The sequence below is a fragment of the Homo sapiens genome, chromosome 16 (assembly GCF_000001405.40).
Source record: "Homo sapiens chromosome 16, GRCh38.p14 Primary Assembly".
NCBI lineage: Eukaryota > Metazoa > Chordata > Mammalia > Primates > Hominidae > Homo > Homo sapiens.
This window is the reverse complement of record NC_000016.10, coordinates 79,105,848-79,118,139: the sequence shown is the minus strand read 5'-3', so window position 1 is coordinate 79,118,139 and position 12,292 is coordinate 79,105,848. Positions and strand designations below refer to the sequence as shown.

The 12,292-nt window shown below is 43.6% G+C and overlaps 1 protein-coding gene across 2 annotated transcripts in view; it reads right to left on the bottom strand.

The window, feature by feature from the left end:
- Window positions 1-12,292, bottom strand: part of WWOX (WW domain containing oxidoreductase) — a 1,113,014-nt gene that overhangs the window by 94,528 nt on the left and 1,006,194 nt on the right. The window lies entirely within an intron of this gene.

The window sequence follows — 12,292 nt, the reverse complement described above, 5'->3', positions numbered from 1 at the left end:
TCACTTTAAATCAAAAGCTAGAAGTGATTAAGCTTAACGAGAAAGCCATGTCGAAAACTGACATAGGCTGAAAGCCAGATCTCGTGCCAAACAGGCAAGTTGTGAATGCAAAGAAAAAGTTCTTGAAGGAAATTAAAAGTGCTATTCTAGTGAACACACAAATGATAGAAACCAAAACAGCGTTATCACCCATATGAAGAATGTTTGAGTGGTTTGGATACAGGATCAAACCAGCCACAACATTCCCTGAAGCCAAAATCTAATCCAGAGCAAGGCCCTCACTCTCTATAATTGTGTGAAGGCTGAGAGGGGTGAGGAAGCTGCAGAAGAAAACTTGGAAGCTAGCAGAGGTCGGTTCATGAGGTTTAAGGAAGAAAGCCGTCTCCATAACAAAAAAGTGCAACATGAAGCAGCAAGTGCTGATGCAGAAGCTGCAGCAAGTTTTCCAGAAGATCTAGATAAGACCACTAAGGTGGCTACACTAACAGATTTTCAATGTAGACAAAACAGCTTTCTGTTGGAAGAAGATGCTGTCTAGGACTTTGAGAGCTAGGGAGGAGAAGGCAATGCCTGGCTTCAAAGCTGCGAAGCACAGGCTGACTCTCTTCCCTGCTGGTGACTTCAAGTTGAAGCCAAGCTCATTTACCATTCCCAAAATCCTAGGGTCCTTAAGAATTATGCTAAACCTACTCTCCCTGTGCTCTATAAATGGAATAACAAACCCTGGATGAGACCACGTCTATTTATGGCATGATTTACTGAATAATTTATGCCCACTGTCGAGACCTACTGTTGGGAAAAAATTTGTATTCCTTTAAAAATATTCTGCTTGGTCCAGTGTGGTGGCTCACACCTGTAATTGTGGCACTGTGGGAGGCTGATTTGGGCAGATTGATTCACCACAAGTTCAAGACCAGCCTGGGCAACACGGTGAAATTGTGTCTCTACTAAAAATACAAAAATAGCCCAGCCTAGTGGCATGTGCCTGTAGTCCCAGCTACTGGGAAGGCTGGAGTAGGAGGATAATTTGAGCTGCAGTCATGCCAGTGCATTCCAGACCAGGCTGTCTCAAAACAATAACAATAAAAAAAATAAAAATATTCCACTTGTTGACAATGTACCTCGTACCTAAGAGCTCTGATGGAGATGTACAAGATTAATGTAGTTTCCATGCCTGCTAATACAATGCCCAGTCTGCAGCCTATGTATCAAAGAGTAATTTCAACTATCAAGTATTATTATTAAAGAAATACATTTTAGAAGCCTACAGGTGCCACAGATACTGTATTCTTCTGATGGATCTGGGCTAAGTAAATTGAAAATCTTCTAGAAAGGATTCAGCATTCTAGATGCCATTAAGAACATTCGTGATTCATGGCAAAGGATCAAAAATTAATAATAACAAGAGTTTGGAAGAAGTTTATTCCACCTTCTTGGGTGACTCTGAGGGGTTCAAAAGTTAGTGGAGGAAGTAAGTCTTGAGCCCCTTCAAGACTCATATGTGGTAGAAATAGCAAGAGAACTCGAGTTAGAAGTAGAGCCTGATGATGTGACTAAATTGCTGCAATCTCATGAGAAAACTTGAATGGATGAGCACTTGCTTCTTAGAGATGAGCAAAGAAAGTGATTTCTTGCAATGGAACTTGCTCTTCCTGAAGGCGAACACTGAACATTGTCATGAACAACGTCATGAATGTTGTTGAAATGACAACAGAGGATTTAGAATATTCCATAAACTTAACTGATAAAGCAGTGGCGAGTTTGAGAGAACTGATTCCACTTTTGAGATAAATTCTGCTGTGAGTAAAATGATGTCAAACGGCAGTGCATGCTACAGAGAATCCTTTTGTAAAAGGAAGAGTCAATCCATGCAGCAAGCTTTATCCTTGTCTTATTTTAAGAAATTGCCACAGCCACCCCAACCTTCAGCAACCGCCAACTTGATCCATCAGCAGCCATCAACATCAAGGCAAGACCCTCCACCAGCAAAAAGATGACAACTTGCTGAAGGCTCAGATGATCATTAGCATTTTTTAGTAATGAAATATTTTAAAATTAAGGTATGTACATTGTTTTCTTACAATGCTATTGTACACTTAAGAGTCTATTATATCGTGTAAGCAACTTTTGTATGCACTGGGAAACTCCAAAATTCATGTGACTTGCCTTATTGAGATATTTGCTTTATTGTGGTGGTCTGGAACGGGATCTGCAATATCTCTGAGGTATCCCTGTACTTTTAAATAGAGAAAAATTCATTAAAAAATAAGAGACTCTTCATTCTAACACATCCGAATTGGGTGGCGAAAGCTGGTGTATATGCTCTCTGTTTCCTTCAGGACTTTAAGGATTTGGATCCTGTGAAGTGTTTTTCTTGTAACTTGAAACTTCTACACGCAGGTCAGTCCTATCACTGTTTTTTTCTCTTATTTAAAAGTGCAACCAGTGCGGGGGCTGGGAGAGGCCCCCTGCAGCTCATCACCAGCTCAGAAAATATTCTCCATGCATATACTCTCATATCACACTTAGATCTTTCTTTGTGAGAAGAACTGGGCTTTTTCTGAATTACTGGCTTGTTTTGAGTTTAGAGATATTGTAAACTGCATAACTGATGGTTTCTCCCAGTTTGTGGCAGCTGCTAAAAGGCTCAAAGACAAATGTGTGGCTGGCTTATAACAAGAGCAGCACCTGTGGGTTTTGGGTCCTGGCTTCACTCTGGGCTTCCTGTTCACTTCCATGCCCCGAGTTTCTTTCCTACTTACTGACCACCCTGCACCATATAAGTCCTGATGTTGCTGTTTCCAATTCTTGTTGGAATGAGATGAAGTATACATTGAAAGTTTCTTTTTCACATATGAGACAGGCTACATGCATCCCTATGAGCTGTGTTTCCATTGATTGTTAGAGAGAATTCCAGCCAAGTAAAGGGCAAATCAAATCAAGCAACCCCATTTGAATCCATGGCACAACAACCATACTGACTAAGAACATGGGGAACACGAAGGAGTTAAATCCACGTGGCAGCACAGGGTGGGAGGCGGCAGCATTGAGGGACCTGGTCCCTTCCCACACTGGAGGCACAAGAGGTCATCAGAGCAGGCAGGAACTTGCACTTGGCTTTGCTGGGAAAGCAGATACTGTGCTTATTGCAATGTTCCTGTGGGCGAGCTAATTGTCTAACTGCCCTTGAGATGTATATAATTTAGTCTGCAGCCCCGGCTCCTGCCTCTGTGTCATCACCAATGGGCTGGGAAACATGAACAACAACATCTACGCCCATTAAAGGCAGCAGCAGGCCAGCCCTGTCACCCACGGCCCCTTGATGAGTGATCTGGAAGCTGTGCTCCTGCTCGGGGCAGCTGGTTTACTTGGCTAAAGGGTATATCTTTAGCTCCCCTTGGTTTGTTGACAGGGGATGCTGTGTTCCTTTCCTGGGGCTGCCATAACAAAGTGCCACAAACTAGGTGGCTTGAAACAATACAAGTTTATTCTCTCTTTATTCAGGAACTCAAAGAGTCTGAATTCAAGGTGTCTCTGGCGCTGCGCTCCCTCCGAAGGCTCTAGGGCAGAACATATCCTTGCCACTTCCAGCTCCTGGTGGTGGATGGCAATGCTTGCTGTTCCCTGGCTTATGGCAGCATCGCTCCAGTATCTGCCTCCATCTTCACATGGCCTTCTGCTTGTGTGTGTGCACACGTGTGTGCATGTAGGTATGTGCATGCATGTAGGTATGTGCATACATGTAGATACGTAGATATGTGTGCACACACGTGTGTCTCTCCAAATCTCCCTCTCTTTTCTCTAATAAAGACACCAGTCACTGGATTGAGGCTCCATCTTAATCCAGCCAGATCTCACATTAATTTGATGACATCTGCAAAGACCCTACTTCCAAATGAGGTTACATTCACAGGTAACAGGATGGGACTTCAACATATCTTCTGGGGGGATGCAATTCAACCCATAATAGATGCACTTAACAAGCAGCAATTAAAAGCATGAACTCTGTAGTCATCTGGGTTCAAATCCTGGCTCTAACCCTTACTAGCAAATGACTTAACTTCTTCCAGCCTTCCTTCCTCATTTGGAAGGCCTTAGGCCAGCACCTGGGGCTGTCAGGAAGTCAAACAGGATCATGTGCCATGCGAGCACATCGCCAGACATAGACATGGCTTGTCAAGAACACGTTGTGGCTGGGCCTTAGGACTGCCACTCAGCCCTGCTACTCCGATTCAAACATTCCTTCCACACACTGAGAGACCCTGGTTCAAGATTACAGAAAGCAAATTGTCATTAAGGGGGTCTAGCTCTTCGCATCTGGTGTTTAATGTGCACTTTGCCTGGAAATCTCTCCTTTGCCCTCCTTAACCCTCCCTCTTCCCCTCCTCGGGTGAAAAGTTGGCTCCATCCGAGCCCTCAGGACTTGCCTTAATTGACATCTACACTCCAAGATCTTCCAGGTCACCCTGCTGAGAGCAGTTTAGTGCAACTTATGGTCAGCCCTTCCTTCTCCAGCCAACTGCTATGCTGGGGACCTTCTTTGGCGACAGGGATTGCTCATTCCACCCAGGCGTAAGCCTAAGTTTGCCCTATAAAATATAGGACATTCCATTTAATTTGAATTAACATATACAATGAATAATTGTATTAGCATGTCCCTAATATTGCAAATGTTGTACCAAGGTGTGGACCAGAAGTGCCTGGATGTGAATGTCCTGAGAGCAGTCCTCAACCAACGACAGATGAGGATCTGGTGGGTAAGTACTCCAGTTTCTTTGCCCCCTGATGGGGCATAACTCAGAGACGGCATGTTCCACATGGTCTCCCCAAGTTTCCCAGGTGAATTCTTCACCCGTCATCCACAGCAGTACCTGCTCCCTAACGCACCCTGGGATGGCTTTTGCTTCCCCTTCCCTTTCTCCACTTCCTGGGAAAATGCCTCTGCCCTCCCACCACTAGTCTCCACATTGAGCTTGTATATTCCCCACAAAACCCTTATCACAACGTGTAATTACACACACATATGTTTTTCTGATTGCTTAATCTCTCTGTTCCACCAGACCGAGTTCTGGTACCATGACTGTGCCGTTCACCATTGTTCTTCAGCACCTGGCACTGGGCTGGCACTCAACAAGAACTTGCTAGATCATGAAGATGAGCAAGAAAATGAACCAAAGCACAGCCATCTATGCCAGCAGAGAGCAAAAGTGGTTTTCAGCTGTGCTGAGCTGCGCTGCACAGAGGCTAGACTGTCCAAGACTTGAGTTTGGGTCTCACTTGGCTCACTTCAGAATCTGACCTTGGACGGTCTCCTGAGCTGTCTTCACCTCAGTTTCCTCATCTGTAAAACGAGGCGGCGAAACTAGATGATTTCTCTCCTGTCTTCCAGCTCTAAAATTCTACGACTCTATATTCTAGGCAATAAACTTTACGACTATGAATAAATTAATGAAAATGAATATTTAAATGATGTGCAAACATTCATGCGAGTGCTTTCTTAATCTTTTATGCAGTGGGAGAGTGAGAAATAAAACCGAGATGAAAAGATCAGAAATATCTGCATCAGTGAAAAGCTGGTGTCTTGCTCCCGTTTGCCGGGGATGTTGGTTTAGAAGAGTATTTGTTGAAGAACTCGCAGGGTGGGGGAAGGAGAAGGGTCAAAAGGCACGCAGGCATCTGGGGAAGCTGGAAGCCCCCAGATGGATGGATATTCCTGGCAACAGTTCTTGGTCCAGGGTATGAGCAAAGGAAATTATGTTCCCCAACTCTCTGGCTCTTTTGGTCTGTCATGAGCCTCAAAAATATTCAGAATGAAGGTTTGGTGACTTGACATCTGAGTGCCTCATGTACTTATCAAGATGATCTGTTGCCTGTCCGTCAAGTGGACAGCCCTTTTGTTGGGTCAGTAGACACAAACCAAGAGTCTGTTTGGCATGTATAATACTTACAAAGAAAGAAGAATTAATTATTTAAAGATGAGACCCCCTAGCTTCTCATGTTGGTAGGAGGAGCAAAATGGGAAGGAGGGAGAGAGAGAAGATTCTCAGAATGAGCCTGTTCTGTGTCCAGCCCTGGGGATCAGGCAAGTCTGGACATTGAGGTATGGCTGGGGAGTTTGTTGGGATATTCACCAAAAAGAATGGAGTTTGGGGATGGTGCTTAACAGGGTCCTATGAGACAACTCATCATCAAGAAGGAGACAGGCCTGATCTTGACCCAGTTGCAAAGCTTGAGTTTATTACCCTCAAAGCTTGAGGACTGGAATTCAGGATGGAGTCTGTTACATAAATTTGTCCCCTGCCAGGCCCAGTGGACACACATCTGGGCTCATGGGATGGTGTGGTCTATAAATCATAATCAATTGTTCTTTGGATGAAATTCTAATATGATGAGCCTAAATACTTTTGTCACTGTGACCTCCTGATCTTTTTCTATCCTGTTTGCCTAGACATTACCCATGCTGATTTGCCTCCAGAATTACCTACTGCCCTTTTTACAAGACTTTTTGGTCTCTTGACAATTGCAGCTCTTTTCTATTTTTATTTTTTAACTTTCTGGCTTTTATTCCCCCATCGTACTCTTTCAAAAGAGTACATAAAAAAAGTGAAACCATGATGACTATTCATTATGAATTTAAAATAATTAGGATACTCGAGTGCTTGATTTCAGTTAGGTCTACATTTTCAGTCCTAAACAATACAGAAAACAGTGTCTCCAAACCAGTAAACGATTAGGCAAAAGACCCCAGAAAAAGGAATTGCTGCAAAGCCAGAAGTCCTGTGAACACACTGGTTGGATTTTCTGCTGTTTTCAAAACCAAAAATTAAACATGACAGAGAAACAATGAGAAAAAGGAATCTGCAGATACAGTGTCACCTGTGTCCCGGGTCTCAGTGCCTGAACTGCTTACAAATCATGAGCCCTTGGTCATACCATAAAGATGCACGAATAAGAGATACTTACTCCTCCCCTCTAACTTTGTGGAATACTTACATGACTTGGCATTTTTATTCCCTGCCATTGAGTCTTGGGACACCCTCCTTCAGTGAAAGCATCTGTGACTCTCTGTGGGTGTTAAGGGTACAAATGATCTCTGCTGGTCGATTACATCTACAAATACTTGCTGAGAACCTACTATGTGCAAGGGTGGGAATGGAAGGGGGAAAATCTGCCATTTCTTGACCATGAAGAAGAATTAAGGCCTTGTGCCAGGCATGTCTCGATATCTCATTTCTCAAAACAATCCCGAAAGACCAATAACAGTGTTCTCATTTTAATGATGAGAAAACTCACAAAAGTCAGCTAACTTGCCCAACACCCAGCTGATAAAAGGCAGAGCTGGGATTCAAACTGGGTACTGGCAGACTCCAGAAACTCCTGCTCCAGCCTCCATCCCGAAGCAAAACATCCCATATTTCTTCTTCAGAATTGTTGAAAGTGGCTCTTCATTTCCCTGACTACAAGAGAAATGAACGTGAGTTTAACAACAATGAAGAGAAAAACAGCCAAGAGAGACAGAGTGGGGACGGAGTGTGTGTTGGAGGTGGAGGGAAATGACTGCTTCTCTTCCTTCACACAGGGACAAGAATGACTTGAGGTACAAACTATTAACTCTCTTTACTAGTCAGAATTGGGTCAGATATTCTAGCAGAGAGAACAGCATGTTCTCTGCTCCAGCTGTTATCTGAGCTACACAGCTGGAGGCAGGACTCCAACTTGCTCCTTGGGCTCAGAGCTCAAGGTTTCTATAGCTCTCCAAGCTACATTTGATGGCCTCTCCCAGCTGGAATGATGGGGGGAGGTTGGCAGGGGCATGTCGGGGAGAAAAAGGTAAGAGGAGAAGAGGTGGCGGGGAAGTAGGAGGGGCATTCTCATTTCTAGTGGTGCAACCAATTATCACATGAGTCAAACCTACCTGCCTGGTGGTTGCCAATCAGTGAAAGTTTTCTGACAGATGTTCATGGGTGAGAAGAATTATTTGAAAGAGAGCCCCCAAACAGCCATAGGAGTCGCTGATTAAATGGGGGTCCTGGGTGCAATGAGGTTGCTAAGCGAAAGTCTGAAAGCCCAATAACAGGATCACACCCTGCTCAATATCTACCAGGCTAGCAATAAATTGAGATTTCCCAAAGCCCTTGCGACATAACGGGCTGGACTCTTGATTTGGAGGGTTGGCACTTTCATTTCCATGCAACTGACATTTTAAGCTCACATACTACTCCAAAGTTTCTGTTTCTAAACAACCCCAACATGCAGAATGCCAAATCTTGTACTGCAGTAACATGCATGCTTGGGAAACCTCTGCTTCTGTGCAGGTATCATCGAGCCTGCCTTAGAGAGAAAATGACTCTGATTTCTTCCTAGTTATCTGATGCGAACGCTCAGATAATTCTAGATTCTAGATTCTTGGTGAAAAAGCAAGGAGTTGTTCTATGAATATCATAATTTAGAGATAAATAATGAACACCAAACTTGGAGCGAAATACCCCAGTGTTCATTTTATTTAATATTCTCCATTGGTGGAAATAAATTAAAAATGAACAAGGCTTGTTTATGCCTGCCTTACATTGCTCTCCACTTTTGAATAGCAACTGCATATTAATTTGCCAAGATCCCATAAATTATAATTAGCCCGGAGGATTAACAACATAAATCCTTGAATTTAAAACCAACCTGCCCGGCTCTCTCTTCCCTATGCCCTAAAGTAAAAAAGAGCCATAAAACCTATCACCGCTACTTGATCCATTAAACTCCGGAGACATTCTTATTTCAGCTTAGCTAGTGGAGGTAGTCTTTGTTAAATCTTTTTAAAGTTACAGTAGCTCGATAGAAACTGGGGGTCTGGGAGACAAGGATCTGTGTCAACTCCCAGCCACAGTGCACACTGCCCAGATGTGGATTAGGAGGACAGCGGCAAAAGGGACAAAGGAATACGTTTCGGCTTAGTACAGTTTACACAGAGTCCTGGAACTGGCCTGAGATGAAAAGTGCCCCCTGCCTCTATATTGTTCTCATTTATTGTCAAGAGCTCTGGAGTACCTGGGAGAGGAACCCAGGGCACACACACATGCTCACGGACACAAAGACAACACACTCACACAGGTGATGATCTGAGCTTGCATCTGCCAAGCTCATGCCAGGCTGATGGGGAGAAGAAGGATAATGTTGCTCAGATGACCAAGTATTTCACACAAGATTATGGCGATTAAAAAAAAAAAACTTTTTTTTTTAAATTTTTTGAGACAAGGTCTTGCTCTGTCACGTATGCTGGAGTGCAGCGGCATGATCATGGCTCACTGCAGTCTCGACCTCCAGGACTCAAGCAGTCCTCAGGCCACAGCCTCCCAAGTAGCTAGGATTACAGGCACACGCCACTACACCTAACTAATTTTTTATTTTTTGTAGAGGTGGGGTCTCACTGTGTTGCCCGGGCTGGTCTCAAACTCCTGGGCTCAAGCAATCCTCCTGCCTCAGCCTCTCAAAGTGCTAGGATTACAGGCTTGAGCCACCATGCCCGAATAACTATGGAAAATTTTAAAGCAATGTTTTTCTTGATGATGAAAATAGCCAATCACCCTTAAGTATGAATGGCATATGAAGTGCCCAGATGGTGGTTCATCCAGGACTGCACAGCTCAGCCTGGACAATCCCTTCATCTGCAAACATACCTGCACCTTGCAATCTTTCGCTCCCATACCTTTTTCTCCCCTTTGAGTTTATCTCTCCCCTGGAGGGGTGGTCAGGTAGACACCAGAAAAATGCATGGATGTGTGGTTAGCCATACTTAATACGCAGCTCAGCTATTTAGAAACAAGAGCTCTGGGTATACACTGATGTGTGTGTCAAGAAGGCACTGCAGGACCCCGCTGATGCTTTTGCAGAGGATATAGTCTTGCTTGTAAGAGGGTCTAGTCAAAGCCAGAATTATGAAGCTAAAATCCATTTAACACTTAGACAGTGGACTAGTGGGCTTCCTTGCCACCAACAGAGTGCCTATTTTATGAATTTAGGTTTCCCCCCAATTATAAACCAACAAATGTTCATTGTAGAAAATCCTGATAATAGATAAGACAATCAAGGAGAAAATGTAAATGTCAGCATGCAGTTCTCATTTATCCCAGATATTTTGTAATACATATGCTGAATAGGAATAAATATATTCTACACTCAACCTGACTCTTTTCACTTAATTTTATTCTATGACGACTTCACCATGTCCCTAATCATTTTCCAAAATCCCCAGTTATGACACTTCATCCTATAACTGTAGTATCATCTCTGTCACTAATGTCGAATTATTAGACATTATGGCTATTTTAATTTGTGATTATAATTTTGTGATCATTACCTGATACATAAACTTTCATGTAGCACCTAATGATTTCCTTGGGAGAAATTTATAAATCTAGAATTTCTGGGGGAAGGATGTGAACATTTTCAAGAAAAATTTCATTTTTAAATGTGACATGAAAATGTGCATGTCGCCTATTACGAAGGGTGAGGGTGGGGTTTCAGTGGAGATCTGCAGAGTGTGATCTGCCTCCAGCAAAGAAAAATCAGGCTGCTAAGTCAGGCTGGTCTTTGGGCTATCCAAAAGATAAAAAGTGAAAAGGCAGTCATTTCACACTGTGCTTGGGCAGTATGCCCAACAGACCCTGAGTAGATTTCTTTTCTTTTCTTTGTTATTGATATAACTGGGAAAAACAGAACAGCAAGGATGAGAACAAAAATAACAAATAAAAAGTCATTTTGGGCTGGGCGCGGTGACTCGTGCCTGTCATCCCAGCACTTTGGGAGGCCGAGAAGGGCGGATCACTTGAGCTCAGGAGTTGAAGACCAACCTGGGCAAAACAGAACAGCAAGGATGAGATCAAAAATAACAAATAAAAAGTCATTTTGGGCTGGGCGCGGTGATTCGTGCCTGTCATCCCAGCACTTTGGGAGGCGGAGAAGGGCGGATCACTTGAGCTCAGGAGTTGAAGACCAACCTGGGCAACATAGTAAGATTCTGCCTCTACAAAAAGTTAAAGGCTGGGAGCGGTGGCCCATGCCTGTAATCCCAGCACTTTGGGAGACCAAGGTGGGTGCATCACCTGAGGTCAGGAGATCGAGACCAGCCTGGCCACCATGGTGAAACCCCAACTCTACTAACAATACAAAAATTCGTGGGACATGGTTGCGGGGGGCACCCAGAATCCCAGCTACTCGAGAGGCTGAGGCAGGAGAATCGCTTGAACCCGGGGGGCAGATGTTGTAGTGAGCAGAGATGGTGCCACTTCACTCCAGCCTCGGCATAAGAACAAGACTCCATCTCAAAAAAAAAAAAAAAAAAAAGAAAAAAAGTTAAAAAAAAATTATCTGGGTATGGTGGCACACAACCTGTAGTCTCAGTTACTCGGAGGCTGAGGCTGGAGAGTTGCTTGAGGCAGGAGAGTTGCTTGAGCCCAAGAGTTTGAGGTCACACAGTGGAGCTATGATCCTGACACTGCATTCCAACCTGGGTGACAGAACCAGACCGTTCTCCAAAAAAAAAAAAAAAAAAAAAAAAAAAAAAAAATTATTTTAAGAAAGAGTCATTTTAGGGTCATGAAGTTCTTGAAAATCTGATAGGTATACTTTCCCCAAATACGCACTCATACTCCAAAGTTTGCGTATTTTATTTCAGGGACCAAAAAGTGTCCCCAGATTCATCCCAGAATCCCTCAATCTTGATTAAGTCAGTAGAATTTAGAGGTAAGAGGAATCATGCCATGAGAAGTAGGTGAGTGTGAACACAAGCTTCTGAATGCCAAAGATTCTTTCACCTGAACTGAGTGAGCACAGGTAAAAGTTTTGAGGTCTCAGGTCAAAAATTCAAAATGTGCTCCCCTAGGAAGTTTGACAAGGGATGAAGAAGTTTATTTAAGGCAGTAGGCATCAAACTTTAGCAGGCACTGAAGTCTCTTGGAAGGCTTGCTGAAATATAGACGGCTGGGCCCTGCCCCCAGACGCAGTAGGTCTGGGGAGTGGCCTAAGAATTTCCATTTCTAACAAATTCCCAGGTGATTCTGATGCTGCTGATCCAGGAACTTGGCTTCGAACTTATTACTGAAAAGCATATAATGGGATACTATGGTATCACTGAAAATGATGTAAAATAATATTTACTGTCATAGAAAGATATTCCTGGCCCAGTGCAGTGGCTCATGCCTATAATTCCAACACTTCGGGAGGCCAAGAAGGGCAGATCGCTTGAGTCCAGGAGTTCAAGGCCAGCTTGTGTAAAAAGGTGAAACCCCGTTTCTAATAAAAA